Source organism: Homo sapiens, chromosome 8 (genome assembly GCF_000001405.40).
Source record: "Homo sapiens chromosome 8, GRCh38.p14 Primary Assembly".
Classification (NCBI taxonomy): domain Eukaryota; kingdom Metazoa; phylum Chordata; class Mammalia; order Primates; family Hominidae; genus Homo; species Homo sapiens.
The window spans coordinates 92,502,479-92,520,342 of record NC_000008.11 but is presented as its reverse complement, the minus strand read 5'-3'; the positions used below and the strand labels follow the sequence as shown (position 1 = coordinate 92,520,342).

The following is a 17,864-nucleotide window of genomic DNA, read 5'->3' as shown; positions in this document are numbered from 1 at the left end:
TTGCATCCTTTATGTGCATCTCTGTTTTGCTGCACACGGCCTTGAGCCAGATAGTGTCGTGAGCTCTCAAATGCTTGTCTGCTACCAGCATCGTCTGATATTCCTCATGAGTGACGGCCAGCTCCTGTAAACAAGCAGCAAACTCGGCATACATCATAGACTTCAAACCATGGAGGGTTCAGTTCCTTTCTATATCCTTGAGGAAAGAAGAAGGGCAAAGAATAGGAGAGAGAATGAAGGCCCAAGAGTACTTAAAACAGGATGAACTAAAACTGGTCTACTTTGTAATAGGTCAGGTTAATCACAGACAGGCTGGATTCCCACGATTTTATGAAAGAATAAAGAAATTCAGAAGGTGCATTTTTTTTTCCAGTGTTGGGGACTGAGAGAGTTTTGGGATCTACCTAAACTAGATGCTTCTATTTTAGCATCACAATGATACAGCTACCATGCATTTATTTTTTTAATGAATTCATTGCTAGACATCAACACTTGTACCATAAATTCTTTCTAGGCATTTAACATCTTAACAGCGTTTCAAGTGCACATTGTAACAGAGTCCCCCAGTAATCAAGTTGCAGGAAGGCTGTTATAATAGTCTTTCTCTGTCTCTGAATTGCAGCGGGAAAGGCAGTTTCTTTTCTGTGAACAAAAACTTTTTAAACTAGTTTCTAACAGGGTGATTTTTACTTTTGTCTATGACAATTCTGAATAACCTGGTAACTATGTGTAGAAAAATGCATTTCAATATCTGTTTTTATAGAGAAGCTATTGAGAGCATTTTGAACTTTATCCTGATTAATTCTAACATGTGTTCCATATATTTCTGAACATGTAAATACTGTCATGGGACCTGTAAACTGTTGTTCCTTTAGGTGAAGGCACGTTAATTATTTTCTCTGATTATGTTTTTCTTGGGGGGAGGAGGAAATTGAGCTCACCCGGGATGAAACATTTTCTTTCTTAAACATTTTCTTTCTTAACAGTAAATGGATTTAATAGAAATCCCAAAATATTTTGGCCTGATTTCTATGTTTGTTTAACTGTTTTAAGATGCATACAAATTAAATGCTGAATGAAACCTTTAGCCAATGAACAATAAAATGCTCTAGATTCTATAGAGATTGTTGAAAACTAACAAATCCTTCGTTTGTATTTAGCACTAGTTGATGAGGCCTTAGATTTAGTAAGGTTGTGGTCTCAGGACTTATTCTTCAGATAGAGAGAAAAAAAAAGATTTACATATTAAAAAGCATTATTAAAGCAGCAAAATTGCAGAGACTACATTTTTCCCCAGGAGGAGTCATTTCTGGAGAAATATCTCTTCAGCCTTTTCCCCTCCTTCTTCCCCAAGATCCGCAATGTACCTTTCAAATATGTTGTCTCTTTGCTTCTGAGAAAGTGCCTCCATATTTCTCTGTGTGTGGCAAGTGTGTGTTTTTGTGTAAACCTGTTACTTAAGAAACATCTCTACAAGCAAACCAAATCTAGACCTGAAGTTCCCACTTCATGAACAAGTGGACCCTTTCATGTCCAGTTTCTTGAACATGGTGAGCTCCTATGTGACAAAATAAATATTTATATGTGTACGATGCTGTGTTTTGAACTGCTTTATTGAAAGATAACTGGTTATTTTAAACCTTTTCTCTCAGGGCACTTGAACCTTGAAAACACAGCAAATGTTCAGGAGACTGTGAAAACTAGCCCCAAGATGTCCCCTCTATCAGGAGCTAAGAAACAACAAGGCATTTCTGAAAAAAATTTTGCTGCTTTGGCAACATTTTGACAGAGAGAATTCTCTTGGTTTCTACTCCCCGCAGCCTGCTTCTACCCAGCATAAACATAACCAAACTGCTGTTCAATTACATAATGGCCATTTTAATTATTATTTTGTTTAAGTCAAAATGTATATTAGTTCCCACAAAGCTAATTTTTAGCAGGAAGGTAAAACAGTGTAACTCCAAAACAGAAGCTTTCCTTGTAGTGCGCAGAGGTCTGCATTTAGGGTGGCCCTCCATGTCTCCCTCATGGTTTGGCAGGTCTCTTACCATTTCATTTCAATTATTACCAAAAGCTATCCATGTAGGAGTAGCTCCATAAAACTGAAAATTGCAGTTAGGTTCACATCTTAACAGCATTTCAAGTGCACATTGTAACAGAGTCCCCCAGTAATCAAGTTGCAGGAAGGCTGTTATAATAGTCTTTCTCTGTCTCTGAATTGCAGCGGGAAAGGCAGATGTGGAAATTATGAGTAATGTAATTGATAATCTTAAAGCTTTTAAATACCCAAGCTCTCAACAATCAAGATCTATTTGAGTTCAGAATCTAATAAGAAGTAAATACAATAGGTTTCAATAAGACATTTTATCAGGAGCTCAGCAGCACTTTCACTCCTGCTTTTATGGGCAATATTATCATCTCATCAGCTGACAAGTTGGAGAATTTTATTGTGACACATAATCATTTTTAGTTCATCATATTTCTCCTTTTTCTTGTGCAGTTTTTTAAAAAATAAAGTTTGCTCATTAAATACAACATTTCAGAGGGTTTTTGTCCCTATTAGATTTAATAGGAAAGGAAGCAGAGTGTTGTTAAAACAAGCTGTTTATTGACAACTAATTTATTGTGTTCCACTGTAGGAGGCTCTGTAAAACACATCATTGTGTTAAAAATAATGCCACTAAGAATTTTTCTAGATACCTAGAATCAGAAAGCCCAGCTCCTGACAATTATTTCCAAATTCATCCTACAGTTTATTCCCTAGCCTAGCCCCGAGAACTTGCATGCCATTAAGAGTTAATTCAAATGCCACATTAAATACACCTCAATATTATTTTCGTTAATATGCAAATTATTCATAATATCAGGGTGATCTTACATTCAGTGGGAACAGCAATAATGCCTGCTTAATGATGTATTCATCAGTGCCGTAGGTGTCTTCATACTATTACTGTTATATATGGTTTTCAGAAACAGGCTTGACTACAAAGAAAATTGTATTGTCTCTGCAGTAAAGGTTTCAATCTTTTTTTCTCTTTTGGTGAAAAAATATCTTTGTCAAGCAGGCAGAAGTACTGATAATCCTTCTAATGTTATCATTTTCACATCCAGATATACTGCTACCAAGTAACCTAGCTTCTGTGATCTGGAGTTATTATCATTACATTTTAATCACAAAGGAATCTCATCAAAATATGGCTTTTTCTTTTTTGATTGAGAAGAAAAATGACTTTCACATTTCCATCATTTTTTTCTAGATCTTCTAATAATATGTTGAGCAAATTATTTATGAAATAGTGTCTTCCCTTGCCTAAAACAAAACAAACGAGTATGCAAGTGTATATAAATGAATAAATAATTTCTGGCAAAATAATTCAAACTTTTCATGGCACCAATAACATAAAATATATAATGATGTTTATTCTCTGAACATGTTTTGTCACTTTCCAGTGGAGCAAAAAGGATAAAACTGGTTTAAGAAGATGCAACTTGTGAAATCTGGTCATGATTGCTCTATCGCCTAAAAAGTCATGTGGGGGTATGCGGTGGCAAGGTAAATCAGCAACAACCTCAAAAGGGCATTTACATACCTCTATCCTCTGCATTTAAGGCATTATTTAATGCAAAATTTTAAAATTAAAAATCTCTAAATTTGGAATTATCCTAACTATATAAGCAAAAAAAAAAAAAAACCTTCCTGTGATTGTAAGCCTCAGGTTAGACCACAAACCATGTCAAACCTTAATACCTCTCTTTAGAATGTTGACTTTCAGTCACAGCCTTCCTGCCTTGGGTGTGCACTCAGCTACAGTTGACAGGAAGAACACATCGATTGACTATACAAAACATTCAAATTAAATGTACGGCTACTAAAGAAAAGCATAAAAGAGGCAGAGGAACTTTCCTCCTCCCAAGCTCACCATCCCGGGATTTCCCAGTGATAAAAATTAAAGCTAACCAAAGGATCTTTTGGAAGCAAGATTGTTTTGCCATGGATGAGGGATTACTGATTGGCTTTTTAACTTCAGCTTTTCCAAATAGTTTTTCAGTTATTTAATTTACTCTACATGGAGTCTATTGATTATTCAAGTTGGCAGTCAATTTTATAGGGCACCCCGCTGTTTCTTTGCTTAATGTAGTCAATGATTGTAATTGCTTGATCAGTGCAGCCCATGAAATAGGTTTTGTGTCTTTTTTACAATGCATTGATGGCTTTATCTGATGCAGCCTTGGCAGGGGCCGGGTTTTACAGCGCTACCCGGAACTCCCAGAGGTCTCTAGATTAATGGCTATGGCGAGCTGCCGGGGCTGCTGATGCTGCGCTCCAGAATGTATTCACACATCTGGCATGCCACACTTGGCGCTGGCGCCAGCTTTGTGTTGTGCAGCTACAGAATCTCTCACCAGTGCCTAGTTAACTGTTTTCACTAAGGGAATGAGATAAAAAGCCATCCAGAGAGCTGTTGGCACCCACTCTCTGTCACTGTAGTCACACATTAAAAATTTTTTTCAGTCTTTTTTTTTTTAAGAGGCAAATGATGTATGGAAACAACAAATTACGTGGAATGTTTATGTTTTGAACTCTGTTTGGATTCTGAAAAGCATCCCATGGGTGTTCAAATTTCCTGTAAACCAACAAGCAGCCCCTCCTTCCTTTAACCACCGCCTTCCCTTGGATGAGAGCATGATAGTATGAAACGCATCCAAGTTTTCCGTATGAGCTGACAGGGGCTTTGGATTTCGAGAGAAAGGTGGATAGTAGAATCACAAATGTGAAAAAGCAGCCTGAACCACCCTCCACAGCTCATTACAATAAAAGGTAATTCTCCTGTCCTTCAGTGAATCGGGTGAAATTGCTCAGGCATCATTTGCCTATGCCTGCATGTCAGTGTTTCATATTTGCTACAACTTGAATTACATTATTAGACATGTAAAATGTAGTTTTAATAAGTGGACCAAGAAAAAGTAATGAAATCTGCAATGGAGTTTCATAAATCCATGGACAATATAATTATATAGTACACATACACTATTTACAATGCCCAGGATGACATCTATCAAAAAAAGTAAAAATGTGATAGATTTTTAGACCAGCTGGGCTCTGAGTTGATTTTCTCAACAGAGTTTGACATCGGAGCTGGACAGGTACAGTTTCTTTATTAATACTTTTCTCTATGAGTAATAAACTATAAATGAATAATGCATCTCTGAAAAGGAAAAGTCTACTGAGAAGACAGAAAATAATACTTTAAATTCGTAGGTCTGCATGGAACTGAAATTTCATTAGGGAAAGCAACTATATAAGAATACCATATATGTGTGTGCAATACTAATAACCTGCTGGACTATGCGCAAGAAAAAAATATTAAAATTTTCTGAAAATAACCATTCTTGTTTTTAGATTTTACAGTCATTGCGTGATGTCATTGCTAGGATCATTTCACCGTTAATTCAGATTTTAATGCATTTACAATAGAAGGCTCTCCAGCAAACTCCCCCTCTCACCCTTTCCTTTCTTGGCCTTCAGACACATTCTAAATATAATTCATCCATTTTGTGCATAGCCGTATATATTACACAACTTTCTTTCCTTATACAGAATGTTATTATTTAATAAGTTGAACAGAAAGAAGCCAAGTCAGCAATTTATCCCAGTTCACTGCCAGCCAAGCTTTTGAAATATGAAGAAATGCCTTTTTCTCAAGGACTGGGTAAAGCATCTTTCTGTTCCTCTACTCCTAATTTCATTTTACTTTGAAATGTCATAAAAATGACAGTCATTTTGAAATAGATGTCTGAGTCACGTTATCATTGCGTGTGCATCAAGATGGTCTTGTCTGCATGACTGAAAGCCTGGATCCATCCTCCTGCACCCCACAACACACACACACACACACATATACAATGGGTGGCACAGCAAAGAATGACATGAGAGCTAAACAAAATACTCAAAGGAGCTGAAGGGCTCACTAATATGACAGCTGATGAAAAGCCTTGCTTCAAACTGATTTAAGATAATTTGTGATATGGGATGCGTGTTTGGAGAAGGTCTGGGAAGATTTTCATTGTTCAGGTTAGGATGATCACACCCACCCTCTCCCCCAGCTCCCTCACAGTGACAAAAGCTTGGCAAGTCAGTTCCTGAGGGAGACCGTGTGCAGTTAGTTGATCCTGTGGTGGGATTAGCTTGATTCTGGGTCTCCATTCATTCATTTCTCGGTTTGCTGAGCACTTATTTGGGAGGCTAGGTCCCTTTTTCCACACCTCTCACCCATCTGTTATTGATTATAAAGTTCCAGAGGGCAGTGCCTTTGTCATTTTCGCTTGCCTTTTATTTTTCCTTTTGGTAGCAAGGTGTTATGCAGATGTGGACACGTAATAAATACTACAGTGCTGAGCTTTGTTGCCCCTACATAAAAGGAGACATGGCCAGAGGAAAATAAGTGCAAGTGGGTTTAATCACACAGCTGAAAAGATGGAGAAAGTGTGTGGACAACACAGACTTTTACAAGGATGACAGGGTTCTCTCTTTGCTTATCTTCCTCCCAGAGTACAACGTTGTGAGAAGGAAATCAGGGACAGGAGTAGCTTTGTCCAACAGAAGTAGATTTGAAACCCTACCCTTGTCCTTAATGCTGTGTGATCTTGAGCAAATTATTTATTATCTCTGAACTTCACTTTCCTTTGAGGAGAAGTACAGAGACTAAAACAAATTGCCCGTTGTCACTGCGAGGATTAAACAGGGCGTCATGAAGCAGCACCTGGCTCAGTGTCTGCCACATAGACGGTATTGCATAAATGTTCCACCCAGCTGTGCTTACAGGAGGACAAGGTTCACTTTCTTGCTCTTTCTTTCCTCCCGAATACCTGTGCTACTTGTATGATCTATCTTTTTCCCCCCGCCTCTGGCCTTTGTTTTAATCCAACTTTGCTTTTCATGCCTAATCATACCAATTGCTTCCTGAAGACACAAACTAAAATATGGTTTAGAACAATAAAACGAACACAATGTGCAATAGCTAAAGATCATCAGGTTTGGGGGAATATTACTGGTTCTCCTACACTGCATATATTTCAGAAAAGATCAAAACTTAATTGATACCATTTGTTGCTTGAATTCCTCTACGTGGAAACTTCCCTGGGCTACCAGGCAGCAGAATGAGCCAGGAGTTGAGAAGCCAGGACCTAGTGAAAGCAGGCTATCCTGGCCAAGGTACTTTAGCCTGAAGTGAAAGAGGTGAATTTTAACTAAGGTTTACAAATGAAGCCAAAGATTTAAAGCCAGGGTAACCAAAAGCAAAGTCTAAGATGTGAGCGATGGATGCGAATTTTCTGGTTTACATGGTAACAGGAAAGAAATGGGAATATATCTAGAAAAGCAACAAAAGACTTATATGATTGTCATGAACACAACTGGCCTGGCCCCTCAGCTTCCTGTTGGTATGGGGGTATGTCAGGTTGTCTTAAAGAAAATGGGTTGAGGCAAAGAATCCTGAATATTGAATTCTGAGCCAGATGGCATGTGACTCTCTGCCTAGGTAGCAGACAGCTCTGTGGTTCTCCTGATTGGTTAGATCCTAGTTTACTTGGCAGGTTAAAGAAAGAAGTCCTTGGAGATAGCAGTCACACCTGACCCTTCTCTTACCTCTCAACAATTCAAGGGCTTAGGGCTGATACCATGATAGAGAAGTTGTCTAAGAAATGAAGTCTTCTACCTTGGTACATGCTGCATGTTTTCAAACCTACTGCCAATAACAGCAGTTTTCCAAGAAAGTTTATAGCTCTCAGTATTTCTCAGAGGGGATATATCTGTCTACAGAGAAGCTGGGGGGAAATGGGAAGAATGTTCTCTAATATCCCTTTAAAGGTTAAACTCTTTGGATACTCTAACATCAATGTTTGTGTTATTCTCGTACATAGAGATACCCACCCATTCTCCTAGGTTTTTCTGTAACCACTGGTGAATATCATAACATAAATGCTAAAATGGAAATGTATAATAGTAAACTGAAGTTTTATTCATTTTCTATGAATCACAATGTTTGTGGTGTTTCCACCATTGAGTTAGGGGCATTCAGGGTGGGCATTCAGGGTGCTTCGGGAAAGGAGAGACACCCACAGTGATACGAAGGGCAGGGTGGGACAGGAGGCCCAAGCTGTGGCTACAATAGCTCTGATCCTAACCAGATGTCATTCTGGAAATGAGGAGAGGGGTACAGTTTGAGAGATAAACAACTCTAATGGAGGATAAAATTTAATTTGACTAAAAATATACTAGAAGTGGGTGTGATTTTAACTGCTTACTTTGCCATCATCTCACATCTAACATCAAACATTCCTCCTGCTTTCCGCCCATCTCCACCACAATTAACAAGAATAAGGGCCTAAGAACAGGAAGAGGCAGGCTTAAGAGTGAGAAGATTACTTTTCCCACAATTCTGAGTCATAGTGAATATATTTCACATCTACTATGAGGACTGTTTAGTGAGAAATCTACAAAAGCCATGATCCTTTCTCTTCCACTTTAATTTTGGCCGTAGTAAGATACTCTGGCTCATATTCCAACAGAAAGAAAAAAACAGTGTGGGGGGTTGTCTAAACCAGCACTTACTGATCACTTAGCATGTATAGGTATTAAGTAGTAGACATGCTTTTACATAAATATAAGTGTGCACATTTGTGTGTGTGTGTGTGTGTATTCTCTGACATTAAGTTTCATTTAAGCCTATTTACTTAAAGTGAGATAAACATTATTATATTCACTTTGTAAATGAGGAACTGAAACTCAGAGAGAGTCTAAGTAACTTCCCTGAGGTTACACAGATAGTAAGAGGTATATGCATGGTTCACACCCAATGTGACTTAATCTGAAACCATGCCTTTTACCCTCCTTCTTGTTGCTTTATACTATGAGTAAGTGGTGTACTTTACACTACAAATAAGCACAATTCAAAATTGGCTTCTTGAGCTCTAGATCCTTGGAGGACTCATTTGTGGGTCTGATTCCTGAATGTGGTACATATGTTTGTTATAGAACACTGTGTCCTGCTTGCTTAGTCTTGGACATGTTGGTTGTGGACCCATCCTGGAAGGGTGAACCTCAGCTGCTAGGTTCTGTGGTCTCCTATCTACATATTCATGTGCAACTCCTATGTGGGCATGAAGAGGGTCCAGTTTGGATGTTCTAGACTTTGAATATTCCAGGAAAAAAAATCCCATTTATAAAAAAGCTTTAAAAATATAGACAGTTGTTTATAGAAGAACTGTAAGTGATTTTTACAGCTAGTATTCAGAGAAAAGCTTAATTCAAATGCTACATCTGCATTTTGTTTTAATTTAAAAGCTTTATTATCTGTGTAAAGGACATACTGATATTAAGTACACATATTCAATGTGAATTAAAGATTCGAAACTCTTTCCCCAATTATTGTCCTTGGTTCCCACAAAATTTCTTCTCCCCTCAAATCTAAGACTTCAAACTTAAAAAAAAATAGGATGATGTGTTTTTTATTTAGGTTGAATGCCTTGAAGATTGAATGCTTCAGTCTTCTGCAACCTGTGGGCAGACAGAGCCACACTGTCTTCCTCTTGGCAATGAGGATATTTGCTTACGTTTTGGTTTGCTAAAACACCATGCCCTTCAGTTACTTACCCAAGTGACATATTCACCTCAGTGATGGAAAAGTAACCTGACTCAAACCCAAAAATAATCTTCACAAAAAGGGGCTATTTAAAAATGTTCCATATGATATTCCTAACCAATAGTTTCATAGACCAATGAATTTTAAAACAATAAAATAGATACAATAAAATAAAAAACAAAATCATAGAATTTTCAAAGAAATATCTGTGATTGTGAGAAATTTGTTCAATATCTCCAAACATAAAAAGAAAACATTTTATTGATCTGCACTTGCATCCTTTGGGTAACTATTAATATGTTAACTATACATTTAATTTGCTATATTTTATCAATGCTTAAAACTATACTTATATGCTTAAATCCACTTACTGATGAGAAGCTCTTTGAAAAAGTCGGCCTCCACAGAAAAGTTTTTGTTTTATTTTCTATCTTATTATCTCTTTAAAAATAAAATTATATATTCATTTTATTTACATCAAGTATTCTTTTGGTTTACCAACTAATTGTTTTCATTCATGGTAAGCAAAATCTTTTATTGCAAAGAGTATTTTTAAACTTTTGTTCTCATAGATTGGGCTGAATGAGAAGTCACTAATTGTGTATCTCTGTGGATATCATATACATTCTAGAGGTAAAACCCATGTTGTCAGTGAACCGTGGGGGTGCTGGCTAGACTTCAACTTTGTCATTAGGGAAACTGCTCATACATGGACTGTTCCTGAGAACTCTAGTTCTGTTAAATGTGCTTCCCTAACATTTTTTGTGCTCCTAATTTGAAACTTTTCTATCAGTTTTAATCTGCACATCCCTCTGCACGTCCAGATTCTCGCTGTGCCTTGCAGAGGAAGTGCCAGCATTCCATGAGAACAACGGTCTCTGTGGAATTTTTGGCTTGACCAGAAGCAGGAAGAGTAGGAAATGTTATTTTAAAAAGTCCCGTTTTTCACACTGCTGATGTCTGGAGAGTCGAGATAAGCTTTGAGCCTACTTCCAAATCTCTGGGTGCTCCTCCAAGCGTGCTGGAAATGGGGGTGTGAAACATAGCTTGCTGAGGTGGGATTGGACAGGGATCAAGACGCAACAGAATTGGCAGTAGGTCTTTTCTCCGTTTAGTTTCCAGGATGCTGGAGGTGAAGCTGGAGTTTTCCCATCCTTAATGCCTTATCTAGAAGACAGCTCTGTGAATACTGGTCCAAAATGTTACTTTTCTTTTTTGTAAATATTATACTTTGAGTTGTTGAGTTTTGGTGAGCCAGAGAGCCCAAAAGTAATCTTTATTCTTGAAATATTTATACATAGAAGCATTACTGAAATAAGAATGCATGATTCCTTGGATTGGATTACATAGTTGTGACATAATTACTTTATTTTTAGTTCTTAGTGCTTAATGGAAACATGACATGGAAGTGGGTGCTGGGGCAGAAACTAAGTTGTGGAAGTGACTGAATGGTTAAGAAGCTGTTGACTCCCCCAAGTCTCTGCATCCTTTTTATTCTTCAAACTATCAACTATTTTCTTAACATTACCTGTGGATTTAGAAAAGATGTAAATCATTGCATATTTGAAAGCTGTTAGTGATGAAATACTACAGTGAGCTCTCCAAAGATCTTTTTTTTTAACACATGAGTATTTCCCAATCTAAAACTATATTGTAAATATCTTCAAGCTGCTAAAGATCTAGCCAATATATATATGAGAAAGGAAAATTATTCTTATAAGTTTAGTAAATAAAAGCATCATGTACAATAGTTCTTTTAAATTTAAAAATTACCCTTTACAACAGGTCTCATATATTTACCTATTTTATAACCAATATTCTTTAACCAGAATAGAGAGATGTTAATATTCCAGAAATGCAGTTCTGCAAATAATGCTGGAAATACTCATTTATTCTCTCTGAAAATGCACAGTACTTATAAACTTTTTTTTTCTAGTTATCTAGGAATTCATGAGAAAAGAGAAGACTCAAGACAGGTTTTAGATATTGGACACTATTGCATGGCAACAATTGAGAACACAAATTCATCTGCCTCAGCTAATATCCAGTGCCTCCTCATAATTGAATTAAGCAAGTGGTGTAATTAAGTGATTCAATGACAGCATTTACTAAGTGGATCCCTCAAAGATGCCCAGTGTAGGGCATTCAGAAGGTTTAAAAGGGAGGACACTTTTTGTTTTAACATGGACAATGACTCCTTATGAAATTGAATATTGTTTTAAACTTTCTCTTCATCTTTCTACTCTTTCATCAAAAGGATACATTTATTTAGTCTATACTTAATATGTCCTGTCTCTGAGTTTTTACTTGGTCATTTGTAATTCTCTCTTCTACATTTTCTCTGAAATCTCCAGTTATATTATGATAGATATCTTTAATATAGACTATCTAAATAAGTATAGATAGATATATAACAGCAACTAATGATGTTGCATCTTAATCAGAAAACTATAAACAACCATAAGGTCACTATTCCCATGAATTTGTTACTATGGCTGGAGAAGATAATCTCTTAAAGCAGTGGCTTAACTTTATCTATGTTTGTCCTCATAACGAAGTCCTTCTGGAATAGTCCATATTAAAGTCACCTTGCCCCTTACTTTAAAAAGAAAAATTTTAGCATTCAAGCAAAACTGAAAACTTTGGCATTAATATTAGACCACAAAATCCTGACTTTCAGAAGCAGGGAAATACTAAAGAGGCAAATGGTTGAGGAGGTTTCATTTCCTGCAAATGGAATCATATTAGTGCAATCAGCCTGGATTTATTCGATGACTCAAGTAATATTTTTCTCCTTTAATGAATATTAAATTTACCAATACTCTTTACAAATACTATTTAATAAGGTTTAATAATAAACATGTGATCATGTATAATGTGCAAGCCAAAGAATAATAAGATATAGTCCTTTTCCTTTAAGAGTTGATTTCTTATGGGGCAAAATAAGCACATGAGAGGTCCTACTTCTGCATGTGGACATTGGGATGGTGCATTGGGGATGAAATATCTCCAGTCAACTATATCTAAATAGCTAATGAAAACACCTTGTAATTTGAGACAGAATATAAATACACAAATGTATAAATAATATGACCTTCTAATTTTCAGGGATTTTCATAATCCTTAACATACTTTCACAAGCATATGCCACAAATATATGAAGTGGGAAGAGTGGAGTTTATAGAAAATGGAGAATCAAAAAAGTAATTAACAGAGCTGGGTCTGGAGTCAAGTTTTCCAACTCCCATTATTTTCCTGTTTCCATTTCAACCTGGACTTTTTCATTTGAGAGTGACTAGGGTGAAAAGTGATCCTAAATTTTTCGAGGGCAACAGAAATAGTATTATCATAAAAATTGTTTATATTTAAAAAAAGAAGGAACAGATTATCCTTGGTTTTATAGCAATACCATGCTATGAAACACAAACAAGTGTACACCCTTGAGGACTTAAAAATGAGTTATTACATTTATTTGCTTACCTTGGCATCAGTGGCAACATGGCTTAAAGGCAGTGACATGTGGCAGAAAGAAATCAATAACTAGAAATAGATATGCCATGGCTCTAGTTTGAAAGGGTAATCATTTCATTTTTCTTTAGTATTTCATGGACTTTGTCACCTTAAATTAAAAAATAAGAGATCAAACTGGATCTGAAAGTTTAATATTTATTTGAAAATTATTTACTAAAGTAGCTAGCAGCCTTCAGTGTCTCTTGTTTTTAGTCTATTGTGTTCAATTGTGAGTATCATGTACATTCCACAAGAACTAATTTGTGTTATTTAGGTAGAACTGTTGGATTTATTTGCTTGGCCTTGATTAGATTAGATCTGGCCTTATCAGTTGGGTCATTCTGTTTAACTTCTTATACTTATATTTTATAATATTATAATAAAAGATGAGCACTTCCCATCAGTGCCTGTTCACAATCATTTATCCTTAATGTGTCTGAAAGAAACAGAGAGAAATGAAAGAAGACACTTTCTCATTCATGATTCTTTTAAAAACTGTTCCCTTGTCTTCACCCCTCCCATCCTGATATCGCATGCATGGCTTGTTCTCAGCCTGCTCTGAGATAAGCTAGGGCAGGCCCTGTAATATGATTCAAATTGCAATCTCATGTCTTGCATCCCCCAAACACCTCATCTCCCATGCAACCTGGAACCTTCATTCCAGTCCCCAATTAGACTAATATCTCTGCCCAGCTCCGATTGGGGGTGATGAATCGGCTGGGAGGATGGGGGGAGACAAGGCGATCTTCTCAGCTCCTCTGCATTCCCATAGGCACGCAGCATTTGACAGATTGGGCAGAACTGCCACGAAAGAGTCTGACACAGATGGTGTAATTAGAAAATGCGAAGTGCGAGTGTGAAATTTATCTTTGATCAGCACCTCCTTGCCAGATTGTCATCTATGTTAATATGATGATGGCTTCTTGGAGATGGATAGAAGGAAACAGCAGCCTTGAAGAGGAAACAGAGACTGTTCACTCCACAGAGAAGATATTCTATTTACTTCTAAAATCCAATCAATTTCAACAGGCCAAAATGAAATTGTACTTACTTAATTTATATGAAAAACAAGCCTAACCTGATTCGCACACTTTATTAAGCCTATAATCAATATGGTAAAATCTGAGCTTTAGTTGGAAGGGGAGACATGTTAATTTTTTATGGAGTAATAAATAAAAAAATACAATCTATAACTGTAGGAGCTGTTGAAGACAATGTGCATGTCTCTTTATCAAGGCTCTATGAAAAATGCATAGACGAAAATCACTATACTCCATAGCATTAAAACTCTAGACACTGCCAGCAAAGTTTTATTCTTTACTTTTCCTCCACTCTTTTTCTTTCAAAATAATACCTAGGATTTTTACTCAGTTCAAAGTACACCAGCCTTATTTTCCTTGATGTGTTCAATTTTGTGCTTTTTCTCTGTATTTCACAACTTTGAAATTTTTAAAAAATTAATAAAACACGTTTTTAGTCGGGATTTGATAAAGTTGCTTTCTTTTTATATTATCTTCCTGAAAAATCCAGACATTTACCATTACAAGGACCAAGTATAGCCATAAACCATTTCTTCTTAAGTTTTATATATCCAATAAGAGTCATCTTTTCTTTGGATGGCTCAAAACGTTCAGGTTTGCAAGCATCTATGATAGACTACATTTTGCTATGATCTGCTCAAATGTTCACATTGATGGTGCTAATTTTCAGGAAGGTAAATTAGCATAATTAATGACCAGCCAAATTTGGGGGTAATACAGTATGTAATTAACATTAGAGAGTTCTGTTGTACCACCTGCCCCCACATTTCATTGTTGCAGGGATCGAACTGTACAGGAGGAAATTTTCCCCTTTGCTGCACTGAGCAGAAAGCAGCTTTCTTCATCAGAATAAGCCATTAGCTGTAATGGCATGTAGGTGTAATGGAATGTGCTCTAAACATCTGTGCTGAGAGCACGGGAGAAATTGCTGCATGCAGTCGTAGGCCTTTGGGGAGCTTGATTAAGGGTTGCTTCAGAGAACTTGAGATCTGGCTTGGGATGCAAAAACAAAAAAAAAAAAAAGGAGAAAGAGAGAGAAGAAAGGAAAATAATGCTAATAGATTTACGGATGTACTGCAGGGAGAGCAAAGGATTTTTAATTTTTTTCTTCCTTTATTGCTCTTATATTGCATCTGTTCTCTGTTGGGCTTTCACTTATTGAAGTGATCTCGAAAAAATGTAGCTCTAAATGCAGTTTGGTGGGAAAGATCATAGCTGAAAAATAAAATAGGTTGATTTCCCCCACCCCCCATTTTGGTTAGCTAATGGAAAATTCCTCACAACCTGTGAAGAAAAATACTAAGCATTATTTATCTTAAGTGTGATCTTAAAATTAGTCTCAGAAAATAACATGAATATACAGATTTGGGGCTGTAAATACTTTCTTGTTTTTTTTTTTTATTTTTTATTTATTTATTTTTTATCAGTCTCCACAGAGCAGTTCTTGCAATGTATCAGATAGCTGGGTTATTCATTTTCAACTGTTTAATTCAGTATTTCCAGCAGTACTTTAAGCTGATTTTGAAGTCACTTTTTAGACAAAATTTGCATGAATATATGTATTATAGGTAACATGATTTGAACTTCTGAGGACATCAGAAATTATTTTCTACTCATTTATTTTCTCAGCAAATACCTACTGAGCACATGCTAAGTAAAAAATACTTTTTCCTCGCTGAGTGTTTGGTCACCATTGCTAGGAATGTAATACATTACATTTGGCAGCAAGCATTGCTGATTGTATTACCTTAGCCATCTCCTTATTCCATGCTGACTGCTGAAGCCAAATCGATCATGCAGTGATATACATTGATTGCTAAAACAACTCAATTGAATACATCGATTATGATGAGCTTTGGCCATTTTAGAAGTGTTAAAGAAACAAAATATTTGCTTTACTATAGCCTTCAAAGTAAAGATAAGCTAAAAGAGAGTTATATTTAGATAATGGGCTAGGGAAGGGTTAAACATTTGTGAAACTCATGCAACCAAAAGGGAATTAGCATTCTGCATGGGACAGATGTGAATGTATTGCTTAGAAAATTAGAAACAAACCTGAAAATATTGGGTGATTTTGTGATTAGGTAAATCTTACACTTTCTAATTATAAATGACAATGAAGCACTCTATTTGCTGGAATCTATCTTCCTTATGAACTAAGAAGCTTGCTGAGCTTGTGCCAAAAACTCCTTGCACTGAAGTTTAAAATATGTAGGAAGGCAAGAATGTAATAAAAATTCAAAAGCTAATAATATTATGGTGGCTGGCATTGTTTACAATGTAGAGCACCTGCTGTTTAAAAAAAAAAAAAGAAAGAAGAAAAAGTGAAATCATCAAACTGTTCCTAAATGGAAAATCTGGGCTCTCTGCCAGTTACACAATGTGTTTCAGGTGCACTGTAAATAGGAACAATAAAAGGTACAGGCGAAAGAATATGAAATGTTAAATCTCAAATACGCGAGAATATTAATATGATGTTTCTTGAAAGAAAATCTTGGGACTCTTCCAGTGTTCCCCTTTGCAAGGAGGGGGTTTAAAATTTTTACACAGCATATGTAAAGTTCTAAAACTTTTAATTGCCTTTATCTCAAAAAGAATACATATGAATGCAGGACCATTTGCTTCAGCTGCATTGCCCTTAGTTGTTTCAGACAGAAAGGTCCATCTAGACCTGCAAACGTGAATTGCATTGCTTCCAGTGTCTCTGTTACGTACCTGTGTGTGTGAGTGTGTGTGTGTATGTGTGTCTGTGTATGTGAATTGCAGTTTGCAGAATTAAGTCCTGAGAGAAAAAAAAAAGAAGGAAAAAGTAACTTATATTGCCTATTGTTGAATACTAACTTTCTGCATTAAAATTAGCATTATGAGCAACTATAAAATATCAGACACAAAGGGTGATGGGATGTCATATTTCTATCTTCTCACTATGAAGCACTTAATAATGGATTCTTCCAGAATTAGACACCTATTTTTACCAGCTAACAACTCATATGTGCCAAATTTCCCTTTCTAGTTCAAATGTTTTCCTTTCTCAATGAGGCATTTTAAAATCAAGTCATCTTTAAAAAATTCCTATTACATTTTAAAATGCCAATCTTTCACAAATCAAACTGAGACATAATCTTAATGCCTATCTTTTAAAAATAATTTCTAGAGTGACACAATTGTTTTCCAATGATAAATGGAAACTAACCTTCAAGAACTCAGCATCTTTCAAATATACAGTATTTTTAGAAACTGAAAATAAAATTATTTTAGTCATGTCTTTCAGACACTGAAAATTAAGAACTAAACAGTTGCAAAATATTTGGGTTAAGTTGTGTTTGAGTCAGGAAATAAATGGAACTCCTAGGTCCTCTTAAATGTCTTTATCACAATGGTAATGATTAATACAAAAAGGTGGGCTCTGCAACGAGACAAAATAGAAGAAGAATTCTTGCCTTTGTATACCTACTCTACGTGGGATAATATTTATTGCTCTACCATTTACTGAGTCAGCTTGAGAAAGTTAATCTCCCTTAGCTCAGTTTCTTCATCTTTAAAAGTGGCTTAATATATCACCTAATATGTACAATTTGTATGAGGATTAGATGAGATAATACAGCTAAAGCACTTAGTCTAATGACTGACACATAATAAGATTTAGCTAGGTTAGTTAGGTATTGTTATTGTG

The 17,864-nt window shown here is 36.1% G+C and overlaps 1 long non-coding RNA gene across 1 annotated transcript in view, besides 1 other annotated feature; it reads left to right on the top strand.

Moving 5' to 3' along the window:
- Positions 10,428-10,722: a silencer, noted in NCBI's record as "tiled region #14314; K562 Repressive non-DNase unmatched - State 24:Quies". NCBI's record gives its function as "represses a minimal TATA promoter and a strong SV40 promoter by Sharpr-MPRA in K562 cells {active_cell/tissue: K562}" and the evidence as "EXISTENCE:reporter gene assay evidence [ECO:0000049][PMID:27701403]".
- LOC105375639 (uncharacterized) overlaps positions 10,522-17,864 on the top strand; it is a 49,696-nt gene continuing 42,353 nt past the window's right edge. Inside the window, exon 1 of the long non-coding RNA XR_007061005.1 lies at positions 10,522-10,696. This is a non-coding gene — a long non-coding RNA (uncharacterized LOC105375639). The remainder of the gene's footprint in view (positions 10,697-17,864) is intronic.